General features: G+C 41.8%; 1 protein-coding gene and 1 long non-coding RNA gene across 52 annotated transcripts in view, besides 1 other annotated feature; one reads left to right on the plus strand and one right to left on the minus strand.

Annotated features, from left to right (window-relative positions):
* FANCI (FA complementation group I) overlaps positions 1-19,839 on the plus strand; it is a 73,281-nt gene that overhangs the window by 41,662 nt on the left and 11,780 nt on the right. For 17 of the 51 annotated variants that reach the window (XM_047432789.1, XM_047432798.1, XM_047432800.1 and 14 more), the window contains 12 exons: positions 4,573-4,641; positions 5,973-6,074; positions 7,048-7,224; positions 7,302-7,423; positions 8,193-8,357; positions 9,275-9,454; positions 14,160-14,326; positions 14,660-14,745; positions 15,686-15,802; positions 18,224-18,275; positions 19,475-19,602; positions 19,701-19,769. In XM_047432789.1, coding sequence (XP_047288745.1) covers positions 4,573-4,641; positions 5,973-6,074; positions 7,048-7,224; positions 7,302-7,423; positions 8,193-8,357; positions 9,275-9,454; positions 14,160-14,326; positions 14,660-14,745; positions 15,686-15,802; positions 18,224-18,275; positions 19,475-19,602; positions 19,701-19,769 — 1,434 coding nt within the window. The remainder of the gene's footprint in view (positions 1-4,572; positions 4,642-5,972; positions 6,075-7,047; positions 7,225-7,301; positions 7,424-8,192; positions 8,358-9,274; positions 9,455-14,159; positions 14,327-14,659; positions 14,746-15,685; positions 15,803-18,223; positions 18,276-19,474; positions 19,603-19,700; positions 19,770-19,839) is intronic. The other 34 variants (XM_047432815.1, XM_047432819.1, XM_047432814.1 and 31 more) reach the window with 3 other exon arrangements.
* Positions 15,135-19,530, minus strand: LOC124903548 (uncharacterized). The gene is made up of 2 exons (XR_007064749.1): positions 19,445-19,530; positions 15,135-16,147 (listed from the first exon to the last, which is right to left on the minus strand). It is a non-coding gene; the product is annotated as an uncharacterized LOC124903548 (long non-coding RNA).
* Positions 19,518-19,745: a silencer, noted in NCBI's record as "fragment chr15:89848389-89848616 (GRCh37/hg19 assembly coordinates)". NCBI's record gives its function as "represses an EF-1alpha promoter that drives an FKBP-Casp9 reporter gene in an ReSE screen in HepG2 liver carcinoma cells {active_cell/tissue: HepG2}" and the evidence as "EXISTENCE:reporter gene assay evidence [ECO:0000049][PMID:32094911]".

The raw sequence follows: 19,839 nt of genomic DNA on the forward strand, positions 1-19,839 counted from the left end.
ATCATAAAACACAGTTGATAGACCTTAAATATTTTATTTTAATTTGAAATATTTAAATATACTATAAATTTGCCAGTCTTAAGACTAAGTCCTTTTTTTTGCTTTGTTAATGATTACAAGTTTACTTCCTGCCTCTCATACAAACCCATACCCTTAATTTATTGCCTATAGTTTCAAATTTGTGTTTACCTAAAGTGGTATGAAAACTTTAAGCTACCTCAGATACAGTTTAGCACAAAAATCTTTTAGATAGCTTCAGTTTTTTCTCTTTTTACAATTGTGTTACCTCTAATTTATCAGAAATTGGTTTGAGAGACTGACTTTCCAAACATTGTTCCAAACTTAGTTTTTTTTTTTCTTTGGGACAGAGTCTCGCTCTGTCACCCAGGCTGGAGTGCAGTGGCACAATCTCGGTTCACTGCAGCCTCCATCCTCCATCTCCTGGGTTCAAGCAGTTCTCCTGCTTCTCAACCTCCCAAGTACCTGGGATTACAGCCATGCACCACCATGCCCAGCTGATTTTTGTATTTTTAGTAGAGATGGGATTTCACCATGTTGGCCAGGCTGGTCTTGTACTCCTGGCCTCAAGTGATCCACCTGTCTCGGCATCCCAAAGTATTGGGATTACAGGCGTGAGCCACCATGCCTGGCCTAACTTAGTTTTTATAAAAGCAACTTCTTTTTCTTTTTGCACTGGGTTTTCAACAGTTTACTGAACGTCTGATTAAATCACTAGTTATTATGACAGTACAGCTAAGAGAAATACAACTACTGACTTGTGATTAGCATATAACTCACCCAGAGGATATTGTGGTAGCATATGTGAAAACAACATTCATCTTTCTGTACATTTCCATCAGAGCTCTTAGATGCCTAGGTGCACTATCAATGAGCAGTAATATTTTGAGAAGAATCTTTTTTTTTCTGAGCAGTAGGTCTCAACAGTGGGCTTAAAATATTCAGCAAACCATGCTATAAACAGATGTGTTATCATGCAGGCTTTGCTTTTCCATTTATAAAGCACAGGCAGAGTAGATGTAGCATAATTCTTAAGGGCCCTAGGATTTTTGGAATAGTAAATGAGCATTGATTTCAACTTAAAGTCAGCAGCTACATTAACCCCTAACAAGACAGTCAGCCTGTCCTTTGAAGCCAGGCATTGACTTCTCCTCCCTAGCTAGGCAAGTCCCAGATAAAGTCTTCTTCCAATATAAGGCTATTTCATCTACATTGAAAATCTGTTGTTTAATATAACCACCTCGATCAATTATGTTAGCTATATCTTCTGGATAATTTGCCTCAGCTTCTCCATCAGCATTTGCTGCTTCACCTTGCACTTTTTTTTTTTTTTTTTTTTTGAGTCTCACTCTGTCACAAGGCTGTAGTGCAGTGGCACAATCTCGGCTCACTGCAACCTCCGCCACCCAGGTTCAAGTGATTCTCCTGCCTCAGCCTCCCAAGTAGCTGGGACTATAGGCTCACGCCACCATACCCAGCTAATTTTTGTATTTTTAGTAGAGACTGGGGTTTCACCATGTTGGCCAGGATGGTCTCAATCTCTTGACCTCGTGATCTGCCCGCCTCGGCCTCCTAAAGTGCTGGGATTACAGGCGTGAGCCACTGCGCCCAGCCCCTTGCACTTTTATGTTATGGAGATGGCTTCTTTCCTTAAACCTCATGAACCAACCTCTGCTCGCTTCAGCTTTTCTTTGGCAGCTTCCTCATCTCTTTCAGGCTTTATAGAATTGAAGAGTTTGGTCCTTGCTCTGGATTAGGCTTTGACTTAAGGGAATGTTGTGGCTGGCTTGGTCTTTTACCAGACCACTAAAACTTTCTTCACATCAGCAATAAGGCTGTTTTGCTTTCTAATCATTCATATGTTCACTGGAATAGCACTTTAAATTTCCTTTAAGAGCATTTTCTTTGCATTCACAACTTGGCTCTTTGGTGCAAGAAGCCTAGCTTTTGACTTGCCTCAGCTTGTAACATGCCTTACTAAACTGGATCATTTCTAGCTTTTGATTTAAAGTGAGAGACGTGCGACTCTTCCTTTCACTTGAATACTTATAGGTCATTGTAGGGGTTATTAATTGACCTAATTTCAATATTGTTTTGTCTCAGTGAATAGGGAGGCCTGAGGAGAGGTGGAGAGATGGGATGATGGCCCAGTCAGTGGAACCAGTCAGAACATACACAGCATTTATCAATTAAGTTCACTATCTTATATAGACACAATTCGTGACTCTTCAAACCAATTGCAATAGTAATGTCAAAGATCATTTATCATAGATCCCCATAACACATACAATAATAAAGAGAAAGTTTGAAATATTATGAGAATTACCAAAATGTGACACAGAGACATGCAGTGAGCACATGCTTTTGGAAAAATGGTACTGAGAGACTTGCTTGATGTAGGGTTGCCACAAACCTTTAATTTGTAAACGTAATATCTGCGAAGTGCAATCAAGCAACTTGCAATAAAATTAGGTACGCCCATATTCTGTATAAACCACATTGTTTAAACAGTTAAGGCACAGTGAGCCACTCTTCTTTAGGGTGAGCTTTGTGTCAGTGTAAGTAACTGTTTACCAGCTAAATTCTCAGCCACCAGCTGGCAAAGGTGCACTAAGGATAGGCAGTCTTAGACTTCATGTGTTAACTCTTGTGCAGTCCTTGATATGCCCCTTCCCCCCCAAAAAAAATCTTCACCCTTATTTAGCTCTAAAGTAAAAAAAATTAACATGAAGTGGATCATAGACTTAAACCTATTAGAATATTGCTGTTCATTTATTCATCAGTCTTAGTATATCATTGGTATATAAAAATACCTTATGTAGTGATAAAACTTGTCATATTTGTTGCAAGTGTATGCCAGATTGCCATTTGCTTTTTTTTTAATATGATCCTTTTACACTTAAATAATAATTTTTGGTTACTAAATCTATTGATTTTCTTCCTCTGAGATGTCTTCTATTACTTTTTTTTTTTTTTTAAGAGACAGAGTCTTCCTCTGTTATCCAGGCTGGAGTGCACTAGTGCAGTCTAACTCACTGCAGCCTCCAGCTCCTAGGCTCAAATAATCCTCTTGCCTCAGCCCCATCCCCAAACGATTGGGACCATAGGCACAAGCCACTGCACCCAGCTAATTTTTCTGTTTGTTTTTTTTTTTAACCTTTTGTAGAGACAGGGTCTCACTTTGTTGCCCAGGATGGTCTCAAATGCCCTGGCTTCAAGCGATCCTCCTGCCTCAGTCTTCCAAAGTGCTGGGATTAAAAGCATGAGCTACCGTGCCCGGCCCATCTTTATTATTATTTTATCTGTAGAAAGTCCAAATCCTTCCAATGAATATTCACTAACATTTTCTTTGAGGTTTTTTTTTTTATGCATTTGTTTTTGACGTTTAGCTACTTAATTCATCCTGAATTTGTATGATAATATATATGAGGAGCTTTTCCCCCAAGCTAACCATTTGTTCAGACATCATTGCCTCCTTAATGTGTACTATGTATCTCTGTATGCCATTTTAAAATTTTGCCTGTAGATTTTTGTGCCAAGACAAAGTGTCTTTTTATTATTATTACACATTCATAAAATATTTTAATTGCTGTTAGGATTAATTTTCCTTTGTTCCGTTCCTTTCCCCTTTCCCCTTTTTCCGTTTTCCTTTCCTTTCCGATGGAGTCTCACTCTGTTGCCCAGACTGGAATGCAGTGGTGCGGTCTCGGGTCTCAGCTCACCACAACCTCCCCATCCCCAGTTTAAGCGATTCTCCTGCCTCAGCCTCCCAAGTAGCTGGGATCACAGGCGTGCATCACCATGCCTGGCTAATTTTTATATTTTTAGTAGAGATGGGGTTTCACCATGTTGACCAGGCTGGTCTCGACTTCCTGACCTCAGGTGATCCCTCCTGCCTTGGCCTTCCAAAGTGCTGGGATTACAGGCATGAGCCACCGTGTCTGGCCTGTTTCTTTTCTTTAAACAAAAAAATTTTTTTGATCAATTCTCATTTGCTTTTACTCACAGATGAACTGTATAACCTCTTTTCCAGGTTCCAGAATGAAAGTTCTCCCCAGGATTTTTTTTTTTTTTAAGACAGAGTTTTGCTCTATTGCCCAGGCTGGAGTGCACTGGTGTGATCTCAGCTCACTGCAACCTTCATACCTCAGCCTCCCGAGTAGCTGTGATTACAGGCATGTGCCACCACACCTGGCTAATTTTTGTATTTTTTAGTAGAGACAGGGTTTTGCTGTGTTGGCCAGGCTGGTCTCGAGCTCTTGGCCTCAAGTGATCTGCCTGTCTCAGCCTCCCACAGTGCTGGGATTACAGGTGTGAGTTACTTCACCTGGCTTCCCCAGGATTTTACTCTGAGCAGTTCTTAACTAAGACTAGGACATTTTGGGTGGGAAAAAAATATGGTCATTTATATTAGGGCATTTAGGACTGTCAAATATGGTCTCAATAGGAAAAAACTGAGAAGAGGATAAAGAAAGTGTTATTTTTAAGTTATGATTGTCCAGATCACTAGTATCTCTGTTAAAGTGCTTATTTCTTCTCTTTGATTCCTCTTAGGGGTTTTATGATGTTCTTCGAAGGAACTCTCAGCTGGCTAATTCAGTCATGCAAACTCTGCTCTCACAGGTAAAATACATTTTTATGGATATATGGAAAACAGACCATCAAGGATCGAGAGACAGTTGATGGTTTTCAGACCTTTCAAAATATAAAATAATTCCCAACTAGTACATTAGTACTTTGTGAACATGCTGTGGGTATGTTATGCTGTTCTGGGTTGTCTTATCTCGGTCACCACTTACCTGTCTGCCATAATACCATCATCTAGCAGTTATCCTTGTGAATTAACAGTCTGTATCCTAAGTCAGAAGGACATTTTGAAGAACCATTTATATAAGGACCATTGCAACTGTATCCATTATGTTATATTTCTGAAAGAAAAAAGAAATCCAAAACAAATATAGCAAAATATTATTTCTTAAATCTGGGTAATGGATACATGGATGTCTTTTACATTCCTTTCTGCACTTTTCAGTTAACAAATTTTTAAATTAGAAGATTAAATTCTTCTAATCTTCAAGACTAGAAGAATTCATATAGAGACTCTCTACCAGGAGGGTTCCTTTAGACCCCTAGTCTATCATTTTGTTTGCTGTCTCTCAATGCCATTGCTTTGTGATAGTTATGAAATTTCATTTAAAATTAAGGTCTCAGATGTGTGAAATTATTGGAAGTTCCCATACTGTCCATCAAAAGCTTTTCATCTGGCCTTAGGCTTGATCCTATATAAAATTTATATTCTGTCAGCTATATTGTATCTTTCAAACTGTAATCAACACATCTACATTCACACGTTTAACAAAAATAGAAAATTATGTTTGAAGGCATAGAATAGCGCTTTCTGACTCAGGTTAATATGCAGGACAGTAAAATTCTGCAGACTCCAAAAGTTAAAAGGAGAAAAATAATAACTCATATTTTTTTTGGCTGTCTTATATGCCAAATACTGTTTGAAGTACTTTACATGTATTGTCATGTTTAATCCTTATACAATGATTATTAATAATATCCTCATTTTTAAGATGAGGAATCACGGTACAGATACTTTTATAAAAACCAGTAATAAGTAGTGGTACTGGGATCTTGGACTCAGCCAGTCTGACTCTGGATCCTGTATTTTTAACCTCCAAGTTAACTGAAAATGTTGATTGCATGTACAAGTTTAGGAATAGAAGGAATTGGAATAGGAAAGATGATCCTAATCTGTACAATATCCAAAGCAAGAGCACAGGATGTGGGTGAGCCAAAGAAATAAAAACTTGGCTGCATTGTTCTTTGAACAGTTGGGAAATGTGTGTTAGAAGGCATTAGACATTAAAGATACCTTTCACCTGAGAAGTTAAAAAAGTAAAAAGCATTTATGAGCCAAGATGTCTTTTTTTTCTTACTATACACAGTTAAAACAGTTCTATGAGCCAAAACCTGATCTGCTGCCTCCTCTGAAATTAGAAGCTTGTATTCTGACCCAAGGAGATAAGATCTCTCTACAAGAACCACTGGTGAGACTTTTATTCTTCCTTCAACCATTATTTTTAGTATTAAGGATAGGGTTGAACTTTGCAAAGAGATACCTTTCCCTGTGAAACTCTCTTCCTGGTTCTTCCAATGAATGTTTACTTTTAAGTCTTCCCTGCTTATCATTTCTGAACCATTATCATTTTGGATCTATTGGTAAGTTATCTCCATGTTAGCCCTTTACTAAATCAAGGCTTCCATCACTTCCCCCAGAGAATATTTTATCTCATTTATGAATCTTTGATTACATTCACTAAATAAATGTACTTTAGAATGGGGAGAGGGATGATGTCACCTACGAACAGATGAACCTAGGGGACCTGCTTCATTAGTCTAGAGGAAGTATATGATTTAGGCTGAACTAGGATTGGCACTGTTGAACCTTCAGAGGAGCTAGGCCTGGTTGACTTTCTGTTCTTATCTAGCCTCAGAAGGACAGCGAAGAGGATAAAAATGGAAACTCCCACCCCAAGTGACTTATAACTCATGGCAGAAGAAAGGAGGAAGTCTTTCAGTTGTCATATCTTGCCTTCATTTTTGTGCCTTCTGTGACATGAGATGTCCTCAGCCTAGATCTAAGATGCTGTGTTGGTCTCCTAAAGATTCCCTCAACATAAACCTCTATCTTTAGAATAGCCTCTGGGACTCAAATGAACTAGAGAAGATTTAACTTCACCACCTAGCTCCAGGGTTATTTATCAGACCAGAGATAGCACATCTAATGTTGCATTTTGAGGTGTCAGCCACTTAGGCCAATTTTCGGGGGGAAGCATTAGAAAAGGATGCTGCTGTTCAATTAATTTTCCCAGTTTTGTTAATTTAGATGGACTTAATTTGTAACGCCAATGAATCATTTTCTTTAGCCTTATAGATAAGAATTATTTGCTGGTTATGAACAACTTTATAAGTTATCCATCAACACTCAAGAGTATTTAATTTACTTATTTTCTCCTACAGGATTATCTGCTGTGTTGTATTCAGCATTGTTTGGCCTGGTATAAGAATACAGTCATACCCTTACAGCAGGGAGAGGAGGAAGAGGAGGAGGAAGAGGCATTCTACGAAGACCTAGATGATATATTGGAGTCCATTACTAATAGAATGATTAAGAGTGAGCTGGAAGACTTTGAACTGGTAATTGCTAAGTCCTCAGCTGTATTGAATGATGGAGTTCTTTAGTAGCTTGTTAATTTTTATCTTGTGTCTTTTAGGATAAATCAGCAGATTTTTCTCAGAGCACCAGTATTGGCATAAAAAATAATATCTGTGCTTTTCTTGTGATGGGAGTTTGTGAGGTTTTAATAGAATACAATTTCTCCATAAGTAGTTTCAGGTAAGGTTTTGCTATAACTCCATTTGTAATTTGATGAATTCTCCATTTTATTTACATATTTTTACTGTAGCAGTATTCTAGGCAGTAAACAGACCACAGACGATGACACTGTCTCTTAAATGAGCACCTAGTCTAAGACTAAACTGTGTTCTTTCCACTAGAGAGCGCTGAAGTATATGCTTACCAGGCCTATAAAATGAAAGCCTTCCAGCAGGGTTTCACTTACTCAGAATTTCCCAGACCCTGAATTCAAGAACTCCTAATTTTAACATGGAAATTTTGATTGGTGGTAGTATTGGACTTTAATACTCTGCAGGGACTGGTATAAATAAGGGAGGGGAGGCCAGGTGCGGTGGCTCACGCCTGTAATCCCAGAACTTTGGGAGGCCAAGCTGGGTGTATCACTTGAGGTCAGGAGTTCAAGACCAGCCTGGCCAACATGGTGAAACCCCATCTCTACTAATAATGTAAAACTTAGCCAGGTGTTAGTGCCTGGGACCTGTAGTCCTAGCTACTCGGGAGGCTGAGGCAGGGGAATCACTTGAGCCTGGGAGGCGGAGGTTGCAGTGAGCCAAGGTCACACCAGGGGAAACAAAACCCAGATAGATTGCTGTGACCTGGGAGTATTATATTAATGAAGTTCTATTCATTTATAATGTTACGTCTAAAATATGACATTTAAAGAAGCATTGTGATTATTATCATATGTAAAAGTAAACCACAATATTCTGATGTTTGTCCTTAGCGGTCTCTTTTTTGTTTTTTACAGTAAGAATAGGTTTGAGGACATTCTGAGCTTATTTATGTGTTACAAAAAACTCTCTGACATTCTTAATGAAAAAGCGGGTAAAGCCAAAACTAAAATGGCCAACAAGACAAGTGATAGTCTTTTGTCCATGAAATTTGTGTCCAGTCTTCTCACTGCTCTTTTCAGGTAAGGTTCTGCTAGAGTGCTTAAAGACAGCCACTCCCTGAGGATCGTATACCTACCTAGGCTCACTTGTTTCACCTCGTTTGGATTGTTTACAGTAAGAAATAAGTCAGGAGGTTTTATTTTTCTTGAAATAAAAGCTGGACAATCCTAGGTAGGTACTTTAAGTAGGTACCTTGAATTATTAAAGGACAAATGAGAAACAGTGGGCCAATAAATGAAAAGATAGGGATGAATTCCAGCAGGGTGTTTTAAGAAAATCTATGTAAGTAGCTTGTACAAGATAACAGATATAAAAAGGTAGGGGGTGCCAGGCATGGTGCCTCACTCCTGTAATCCCAGTACTTTGGTAGACTGAGGTGGGTGGATCACCTGAGGTCAAAAGTTCAAGATCAGCCATGACCGATATGGTGCGACCTCATCTCTACTAAAAATACAAAATTAGCCGGGCATGGTGGTGCGCACCTGTAGTCCCGGCTACTTGGGAGGCCGAGGCAGGAGACTCACTTGAACCCAGGAGGCAGAGGTTGCAGTGAGCCGAGATCATGCCATTGCACTCCAGCCTGGGCAACAAGAACAAAATTCTGCCTAAATAAATAAAAAGGTAGGGGGGGTGACTGAATTAAAAATACAAAGGGACAAAAAAAAACCTAAAAGACTAAGACTGACATTTAAATTTTATCAAAGTAAAGGATTTGGGGAGGGAGAGAAAATGAGGAACCACTAAGAATAACGATTATAAAAGGGCAGCCATAGCAGTGACTATAGCTTGGGCTGCCTAGAGAGTCTGCCAGTCGGAACTTACTGGCAAGCTCTGTTGGGTGCTGCTGTTCTGAACAATTTCTAGAAAGCTTAATTCCATATACCAATAGCAGTAAGGGAATCTTCCTTTTTCTTTCTCTCTCTCTGTCTCTCTCTAGGGATAGTATCCAAAGCCACCAAGAAAGCCTTTCTGTTCTCAGGTCCAGCAATGAGTTTATGCGCTATGCAGTGAATGTAGCTCTGCAGAAAGTACAGCAGCTAAAGGAAACAGGGCATGTGAGTGGCCCTGATGGCCAAAACCCAGAAAAGATCTTTCAGAACCTCTGTGACATAACTCGGTAAGCCACTCCCACCCCTTAGAAACTTATTCCACTTGGCTGTGGTGTCTCCAAGAGAACAAACTGGGAACAGAGGATGAAGGTAATTTGAGGTTGGACATATTTTAGGAGTGAAAGAATATAAAACATTAGCCAGGTGGCAGGCACTTGTAATCCCAGCTACTCAGGAAGCTGAGGCAAGAGAATCACTTGAACCAGGAGGTGGAGGTCGCAGTGAGCTGAGTTCATACCACTGCACTCTAGCCTGGGTGACAGGGCAAGACTCTCAAAAGAAAAAAAAAAAAAAAAAAGCCAGACATGGCAGCTCATGCCTGTAATCCCAGCACTTTGGGAGGCTGAGCCGGGTGGATTACCTGAGGTTGGGAGTTCGAGACCAGTCTGACCAACATGGAGAAACCCTATCTCTACTAAAAATACAAAAATTAGCCTGGCATGGTGGCACATGCCTGTCATACCAGCTACTCGGGAGGCTGAGGCAGGAGAATTGCTCGAACCTGGGAGGCGGAGGTTGCAGTGAGCCTAGATTGTGCCATTGCACTCTAGCCTGGGCAACAAGAGCGAAACTCCATCTTAAAAGAGTGAAAAAAAGTGCAGTCATTGACATAGGGTCTTTTTTCTAGTCTTGCCTTCCCCTGGCGCCCCCCCCACCTTTTTTTTTTTGTTGTTGTTGTTGTTTTGGCTTTTTTTTTGGCTTTTTTTGAGAGAGTCTCGCTCTATTGCCCAGGGTGGAATGCCGTGGTGCAATCTCGGCTCACTACAACCCCTTCCTCCGAGGTTCAAGCAGTCCTTCCACTGCAGCTTTCTGAGTAGCTGGGACTACAGGTGCACACCACCATGCCCAACTACTTTTTAATTTTTAATTTTAGTTTATTTTATTTACTACTTTTTTTGGAGACAGGGTCTTGCTCTGTCACCCAGGCTAGAGTGCAGTGGCGTGATCTTGGCTTACTGCAACCTCGGCCTCCCCGGTTCAAGTGATCCTCCTGCCTCAGTCTCCCAAGTAGCTGGGATTACAGGGCACCACCATGCCCTGCTAATTTTTGTATTTTTAGTAGAGACAGGGTTTCACCATGTTGGCCAGGCTGGTCTCGAACTCCTGACCTCAGGTGATCCACCACCCTGGCCTCCCAAAGTGCTGGGTTTACAGGCGTGAGCCACTGCACCTGGCCCTTATTTTTTTTTTTTTAATTTTCTGTAGAGATAGGATTTCACCATATTGCCCAGGCTGGTCTTGAACTCCTGGGCTCAAGCGATACGCCCATCTCAGCCTCCCAAAGTGCTGGGATTACAGGCCTGAGCCACTGTGGCTTTTGTTTTTTCGTTTTTTTTGTTTTGTTTTGTTTTTGTTTTTGTTTTTGTTTTTCCATTTAACCCTGAGTGGACACAGCACATGTTTCAGAGAGCACGGGGTTGCGGGTAAGGTCACAGATCAACAGGATCCCAAGGCAGAAGAATTTTTCTTAGTACAGAACAAAATGAAAAGTCTCCCATGTCTACTTCTTTCTACATAGACATGGCAACCATCCGATTTCTCAATCTTTTCCCCACCTTTCCCCCCTTTCTATTCCACAAAACCGCCATTGTCATCGTGGCCCGTTCTCAATGAGCTGTTGGGTACACCTCCCAGACGGGGTGGTGGCTGGGCAGAGGGGCTCCTCACTTCCCAGTAGGGGCCCCTCACCTCCCAGACGGGGCGGCTGGCCAGGTGGGGGGCTGACCCCCCCACCTCCCTCCCGGACGGGGCGGCTGGCCGGGCAGAGGGGCTCCTCACTTCCCAGTAGGGGCCCCTCACCTCCCGGACGGGGCGGCTGGCCGGGCGGGGGGCTGACCCCCCCACCTCCCTCCCGGACGGGGCGGCTGGCCGGGCGGGGGGCTGACCCCCCCCACCTCCCTCCCGGACGGGGCGGCTGGCCTGGCGGGGGCTGACCCCCACCTCCCTCCTGGACGGGGTGGCTGCCGGGTGGAGACGCTCCTCACTTCCCAGACGGGGTGGCTGCCGGGCGGAGGGGCTCCTCACTTCTCAGACGGGGCGGCTGCCGGGCGGCAGGGCTCCTCACTTCTCAGACGGGGCGGCCGGGCAGAGGTGCTCCTCACATCCCAGACGGGGCGGCGGGGCAGAGGCGCTCCCCACATCTCAGGCGATGGGCGGCCAGGCAGAGACGCTCCTCACTTCCCAGATGGGATGGCGGCCGGGAAGAGGCGCTCCTCACCTCCTAGATGGGATTGCGGCCGGGCAGAGACGCTCCTCACTTCCCAGACGGGGTGGCGGCTGGGCAGAGGCTGCAATCTCGGCACTTTGGGAGGCCAAGGCAGGCGGCTGGGAGGTGGAGGTTGTAGCGAGCCGAGATCACGCCACTGCACTCCAGCCTGGGCACCATTGAGCACTGAGTGAACGAGACTCCGTCTGCAATCCCGGCACCTCGGGAGGCCGAGGCTGGCGGATCACTCGTGGTTAGGAGCTGGAGACCAACCCGGCCAACACAGCGAAACCCCGTCTCCATCAAAAAAATACGAAAACCAGTCAGGTGTGGCGGCAATTGCAGGCACTCGGCAGGCTGAGGCAGGAGAATCAGGCAGGGAGGTTGCAGTGAGCCGAGATGGCAGCAGTACAGTCCAGCTTTGGCTCGGCATCAGAGGGAGACCGTGGAAAGAGAGGGAGAGGGAGACCGTGGGGAGAGGGAGGGGGAGGGGGAGGGGGCTCGTTTGTTTTTTTGTTTTTGTTTTTTTTTCATTTAAAGAGATGGGGTTTGCAGTGTTGCCCAGGCTGGCCTTGAGCTCTTGGGTTCCCAGGGCTTCTAGTCTTGCTTTGATATGGATTGTTAGTCACATATAAAATGTTATGCTATTATTGGGGAAAAAAAGAGGGATATTACATAATGGTTAAGTGATTCAAAATACTTAAAGCAAAAACTGATGGAACTGAAGGAAAAATAGACAAATCCTTAATTAATGTAATCAGCCCTCTCTCCATAGTCAAAAAACAGAAAACAAAACAAAAAAAAACCAGTAGATAGAAAATCTACTGAAAGGAGGTAGAAGAAGTGAACAACACTGTCACCCAGCTTGATTTAATTGACACTTATAAGAACACTCCACAGCACCTTCAAAATACACACTTCTTTTTAGGTGCACATGGTGTATTCACCAAGATGAGCCATATTTTGGGCCATAAAACTCAGCAAATTAAAAAAAAGTAGAAATTCTCTGACCAAACAGAATTAAAGAAGAAAGCAGTAACAGAAAGATATCTAGATAATCCCCATATATTAGAAATTAAATGCATTTTTAAATAGCCCATAGTCAAAAAGTCGTCAGGGAAATTAGAAAACATCTTGAATAGAATGGAAACAAACAGACAACATGTCAAAAGATATGATCCAGCCAAAGTGCTATTGAGGAAATTAAAGCAGTTAGTGATTTAAAAATCTCAGATCTCCCATATAAACTTCCACATTAAGAAAATAGAAAAAGAAGAGCAAATTATAATGAAAGTAATCAGAAGGAAGGAAATAGACAAAAGCACAACTATGAAGAAGCAGAAAATTAAAATAGAAAACATTAAAAGAAAGCTGGTTCTTTGAGAAGATCAATAAATTTAATGAACTTTAGCCAGACTAATCAGGAAAAGAGAAGACACATTACAAATTGCAGAATTGAGGAAGAAGGGACATCACTACTGATCCTACAGATGCTAAAAAATAGATAATAGAATATTAACGATTTTATGCCAGTAAACTTTTAAGTTTAATGGACAGATTTCTTGAAAGCTCACTCAACAAAAAATAGGCAACCTGGCCGGGCGTGGTAGCTCACATCTGTAATCCCAGCACTTTTGGGAGGCCGAAGCAGGTGGATCACCTGAGGTCAGCAGTTCAAGACCAGTCTGGCCAACATGGTGAAACCCCAGCTCTACTAAAAAAAATACAAAAATTAGCTGGGCGTGGTGGTATGCACTTGTAGTCCCAGCTACTCAGGAAGCTGAGGCAGGAAGACCACTTGAATCTGGGAGGTGTGAGTTTGCAGTGAGATCACCCCACTGCACTCCAGCCTGGGTGACAGAGTGAGACTCTGTCTCAAAAAAAAAAAAAAAACCTGAGTAATCTTATCTCTATTCAAAAAAACCTGAGTAATCTTATCTCTATTCAAAGAAATTGAATTTGTGGTTCAAACTTTTTTCACAAAACTTAAGATCTAGGTCTATTCCGTGGTAAATTCATCCAAACATTTAAGGGAGAAGTAATGTAAATTCTGTGCAAATTCTTCCAGGAAATAGGAGAGAACATATTCCACCTCATTTAATTAATGAGGTCAGCATTACCCTGATACCAAACCAGACCCAGACCATTGCAAGAAAACTGCATAGCAATATCCCTGATGAATATAGAGTCTGCTGTGTTAAAGGCAGACTCAGAAGGCTATATACTGAATGATAACCATTTTTGTATGATGTTTCGTAGAAAGTAAAACCATAGGGACAGAAATTAGATCAGTAGTTGCTTGGAAATGGGAGGAGAGAATTGACTATCAGTGAGCACAAGGGAACTTTTAGAGTGATAGAAATACCTTGATTGTGGGGAGATTACACAACCATGTAAGTTTTTTTAAACTTCTAGAACTGTTCACCTACAGGGTAAGAATTTTACTGTTTGTTATTTTATCTCGGTGAACCTGTCTTTAAAAACAATACCACTTTCTCCTGCTTCAGAGTCTTGCTATGGAGATACACTTCAATTCCTACTTCAGTGGAAGAGTCGGGAAAGAAAGAGAAAGGAAAGAGCATCTCACTGCTGTGCTTGGAGGGTTTACAGAAAATATTCAGTGCTGTGCAACAGTTCTATCAGCCCAAGATTCAGCAGTTTCTCAGAGCTCTGGGTAAGCATTGCAGTATCAATAAATAGGCTTGATTTAGGTTTCTCCTTAGCTCAACCCCTTAATTCCATTTGTTAACCTACCAGAAGACACTTGAGAACAGTCCTAATGTTGCTAAGGAGTGACATCTAGTGGATTCAGGATTGGTACCTACTGGATTACATTCAACCACAAAGAGTGGCTGGAAAATGGAATATAGTATTAAGAAATCACAAAATTTTAGAAATTTAAGTCTGCCTTTAGACTTTTTTTTGGCTTTCAAAAATTTTAGCTATTAAAAGGCCAAAAAGTATGAGTTTATATCAAAGAAGACAAGAGTTTCTTTTCCATTCCTAGATGTCACAGATAAGGAAGGAGAAGAGAGAGAAGATGCAGATGTCAGTGTCACTCAGAGAACAGCATTCCAGATCCGGCAATTTCAGGTGAGAAGCCTTGCAAAGCTGCTGTACTGGCCTGAGAGGCTTTGCAAAGGAACTGTTAGCAGGGGCAGCTGGTAAGAATGGGCAGACAGTGACCAAGTAGGAGAAGAATTTTTTCTGGGTCATACAGGCAACAGGACATAGCTCTCAGAATGGAAGATAATGTATTTAAAAGGACCCTAGTGAGGATAGGTATTTAGCCACCCCAACCTGCAATACTCATTACTTCTAAGGACCACTGTTTGAGTTGATGTAAACAGAAAGGAGTCTTCAAGGCATAGAGTCTGTGTTTTTGTTTTCTGAGTCTGTGGTATAATTTGGCTTGGTCTGACAGACAACGTAAACACTGGACAATAAAGTTTGTTAGTTTCTAACCAATAGTTGTCAAAATATCAGGATGTTCTATCACAGGAGTTTTTTATTTAACAAGTAATTCTGAAGTTCCTACCATGTGCCAGAAACAGTTCTAGGTGCTGGGGATGTAGCAGGGAACAAAAGAGACAAAATATTCCTATCCTTATGGAGCTTACATTATAGTAGAAAGACACTGACAAATAATCAAATACATAGTTATTTCAGGTAACAGGGAAGGTATATAAGCATTGCTGGGTTTGGTGCCTTGTCTAAGCCTGAGATCAATGGATAGGCTCCAGGGAGCTGTGAGCCACCAGAAATTGGGTACATAGTTCATTATCTACATTTTGCATGGGGTTGGAACGGAAAGAGTCAGTTTTCAGGAGCATTCTCAGAGAGGTTTATGGTCAAAAACAGCTTAGGAAACTACTGCTCAATTCAGGTGTATTTTCAGATTTTATCCTCTTAGAATTTTGGTAGCTTTGAATTCTTTCTGTCCTAGTCTTAGGAGTCTCTGACTAGATGCCTCTTCTTCCTGATAGGAACGTGTCTGCTAACATTGCTTGCTGTGTGTGCCTTCCTTTCTCAGAGGTCCTTGTTGAATTTACTTAGCAGTCAAGAGGAAGATTTTAATAGCAAAGAAGCCCTCCTGCTAGTCACGGTTCTTACCAGTTTGTCCAAGTTACTGGAGCCCTCCTCTCCTCAGGTACTAGTACCGCTAACTTAATCCCATTTAGCATTCCTCAGAAGGCAAGGATTATTGCATCATAAAAGTGTATATCTAAATGTCCTCTTGAAATTGAGCTTATTTTACATAATGTGTTTAATTATACACCTGAGTTAATATAAGACCTATAAGATGTATTCTTTCCTGTGTAATGCGTCTACCACAGCATACTTACATGCAGCCATACAGGGCAAGAACATACTGCTTTTGTTTTGTTTGTTCAGGGTAGAGTGAAACACCACAGAAAGAATCCTGTGTTGATCTTTGGTGCCTTCAACCTTCTTAAACCTGTGTTCTTTGCCACTCTTGGTGTTTACTTCTTTTCTAAGAAGAAAATTTGTTAATTATGAAGAAGGCAGTTGACATTCAGCAGTTGACTTTCTCAGCACAGTTACCTGGTACTGACTTTGGAGGAAATTCAACCAAAGATGATTAATTCAGAAAGTGTAACTATAGTCCCAAAGCAGAAACACCTCTGCAGAGATAGGTTGTATGTATGTTTGTGTAAGTGTGCACACGTAGATGTAGAGCTGTGTACCCACATGAGCGTTCACACACAGAAGAATAAGAGAAGGACCACTTGTTGGGGGTCTGTACCATTCAGGAGTAATTTTCCTGTAGGATGATAGAGTACCTTCAGGAGCCCAGGACTGTGTGCTCCTACCACATCTACTTCCTGGGCTTGAGAAAGACAATGAAGCCCTGCGGTATACTCCTCTTTATGTGAGCCCTTGCCTCAGAAGACTGTAGCCTGGGAGTATGAAGGCGTTTGGGCACTAGAAAGCAGAGCTGCTTCCTGTCGTCCTACTTCCAGGTTTGCCCAAAGAAAGTCCCTTTGGTTACTTCATCCCAGTTCCAAACAGCTCACCCCCACTTTGCTCTCATCATCGTTCTTTCATACTGCTGTTTTTGCTGCAAAGAGGAAAGGACTGAGAAAGAAATAGCTAATTGGGGCAGGGGGAAATTTGAGAGAAAATAAATGGATTTAGGAAGGCTAAAATGTTCAGGAAAATTTAAAAATTTTTCTTTTTTAAACTTTTAAACTTTTAGATTTTTAAACGTTTTACCACCTACCCCTTCTCCCTTAACTTCAGGTAGTCTCTTTAAAAAAAAATTTTTTTTTTTTTTGAGACAGAGTCTCGCTCTGTCTCCCAGGCTGGAGTGTAGTGGCGCCATCTCAGCTCACTGCAGGCGCCGCCTTCCGGGTTCACGCCATTCTCCTGCCTCAGCCTCCCAAGTAGCTGGGACTACAGGCGCCTGCCACAACACCCGGCTAATTTTTTGTATTTTTAATAGAGACGGGGTTTCACCGTGTTAGCCAGGATGATCTCGATCTCCTGACCTCGTGATTCACCCGCCTCGGCCTCCCAAAGTGCTGGGATTACAGGTGTGAGCCACCGCGCCTGGCCAAAAATTTTTAATTTTAATTTTGAATGGGTAATAAAGTCCTATGATTTGAAAACCAGAGATTATCAAGAGATTTATGGTAAATGGTGTCCCCCACCCATGTCCTCCATCTGTTCAGTTCCTCCTCTCCCCAAATAAGTAAACACCTTTAGTTTTTTGTGTCCTTCAACCTTCTTTATTCCCTTCCAAGTAAATATAGAGTTTTATTCCCAATCCTACCCCTCTTCACACAAAAACTTGTTCTGCATCCTGCTTATTTCATTGAGCACGGTATTCTGAAGATCTTTTAATATCAGTTTGTAGAGAGCTTTCAGTTAGCCTCTTAATTTACCTTTTCCTCAACAGATCAAAACTGCATTTTTGTTAGTCATTTACACTTAAGTATAACGGCATTTCGGTGCCTTTGTAGCTGAAAGAACTGCTGAAGCAGAAAGTTGACTGTGTGTCTGGTGATGCAGATGCTTGCTATCTGAAGACCTTAAGTCTCCTTCACTTAGCTAAGAAAATGCTGTCTGGTTTCTTGCCTCTTTTATTTCTCTTTTTTCTGCCCTTCTCTCTTCTAACCTCCTTTGTTCTTTTGGCTTCTAAATGCTAATTCTACTGTTCTTATAGCTAGGTTTTCTCTTTCCCACACCTTTCTGATAACCTAATATCCTCAAGTGGAGAGTCTGGGGGCATGGGAAAGAAAAGAGGGCGCTTTAGCCCTAGACCACTATGGTAGAAGCAGAGGAAGTTCAGGTGTAAGGACCCTAAAACTTTTGGACCTCAGTAAGGACATAGACATTGAGAATTAAATTATATATTATTCTCATAATTCTTAGAATTTTGGACTTATTTTTATGCCCTTCATCATATATTACCACTTGAGATCTAAGGACATGTTTTGGCAGCTGATTTGCTTAGATATGGAAAGGTCTAGAACTCTTCTGTTCTGACAACACCTAGGTCTATCTCTGGCATGTTTCTTTAATATCTGAATGATCTCTAATTTAGTTTGTGCAGATGTTATCCTGGACATCAAAGATTTGCAAGGAAAACAGCCGGGGTAAGTTTACTGCCATGTTTTCCTAAAGGCTTTATATAAAATCACTATCCTCCAGTGGCATTTGGAAAAGAAAAGGTATTCCCCATTCATTACACATTCACCAGAGTGGCCAAAATGAAACAGACACCTAATACCAAGTCGAATTGTTGGCAAGAATGTAGAGTAGTTGGACCTTTCATTCACTGGGGGTGGAGGTAGAAATTGGTATAACCACTATGGAAAACTGTTCAGCAATATCTACTAAAATTAAACATATGCCTATGACTCAACAATTCGAATCACAACAGAAAAATGTGGAAGAATTCTCTTAGCAGCACTATTTTAGTAGGTAAAACAAACCTAAGTGTTCATCAGCAGTAGAAAGGATAAAAGAATTATGATATATTCACACAGTGGAATCCTATACAGCAAATAAGCATGAACAAACTACATGTACACACAACTTGGAGAGGATCTCACAAATGTACTGTAAAACAAAAGAAGCCAGACACAAGAAAGGGTACTTACTGTAGAATTCCGTTTAGATGAAGTTCAAAATTAGACAAAATTTATCTGTGATGTTAGAAGTCAGGATAGCAGTTTCCTTGGCGGGGCAAGTTAGGAGGGAGTCCCTAGAATACTCGTAATGTACTTGATCTGGATGCTAGTTACACAGTAATCTTAACTAATGATGGGAAATGTCTGCCTTCTTTGGGCATGTGGATAAAGAGGCATCATTGCAGACTAGCTGCTTGGCTGTAGTATGTGTAACACTGGGATGTTGTGCCTGAGACACGACAAGCTACCTCCTGTTCTGGTTAGGCACTCCACCCCACACACCCTGTACACATACCTGAGGGACCTGACTGGGTTATAACTTAACTTTTTTTTTTTTTTTTGAGACAGAGTTTCACTCTTGTTGCCCAGGCAGGAATGCAATGGCACGGTCTTGGCTGACCGCAGCCTCCGCCTCCTGGGTTCAAGCAATTCTCGTGCCTCAGCCTCCCAAGTAGCTGGGATTACAGGCATGCGCCACCATGCCCGGCTAATTTTATATTTTTAGTAGAGACGGGGTTTCTCCATGTTGGTGAGGCTGGTCTTGAATTCCTGACCTCAGGTGATCCACCCGCCTTGGCCTCCCAAAGTGCTGGGATTACAGGCGTGAGCCACTGCACTTGGCCACAACTTACCTTTTAATTTGCTTTTCTTCCTATTCCTAGAGGATGCCTTGTTTTGCAAGAGCTTGATGAACTTGCTCTTCAGCCTGCATGTTTCGTATAAGAGTCCTGTCATTCTGCTGCGTGACTTGTCCCAGGATATCCACGGGCATCTGGGAGATATAGACCAGGTACTATAATGAGCCTTCAGTACAATACCCTGTGTGGGGATGGGGGTCAAGGGAACAACCTTACTGTCATTAGGTCTCACCTCTCTTCTTTTCCCCAGGATGTAGAGGTGGAGAAAACAAACCACTTTGCAATAGTGAATTTGAGAACGGCTGCCCCCACTGTCTGTGTAAGTGTTGTACCTGAGCCATGGGGAATAGCTTTGTCATTCTTTCCATTCTACTCCATGTGAAGTGACT

This window comes from Homo sapiens, chromosome 15 (assembly GCF_000001405.40).
Source record: "Homo sapiens chromosome 15, GRCh38.p14 Primary Assembly".
Lineage (NCBI taxonomy): Eukaryota > Metazoa > Chordata > Mammalia > Primates > Hominidae > Homo > Homo sapiens.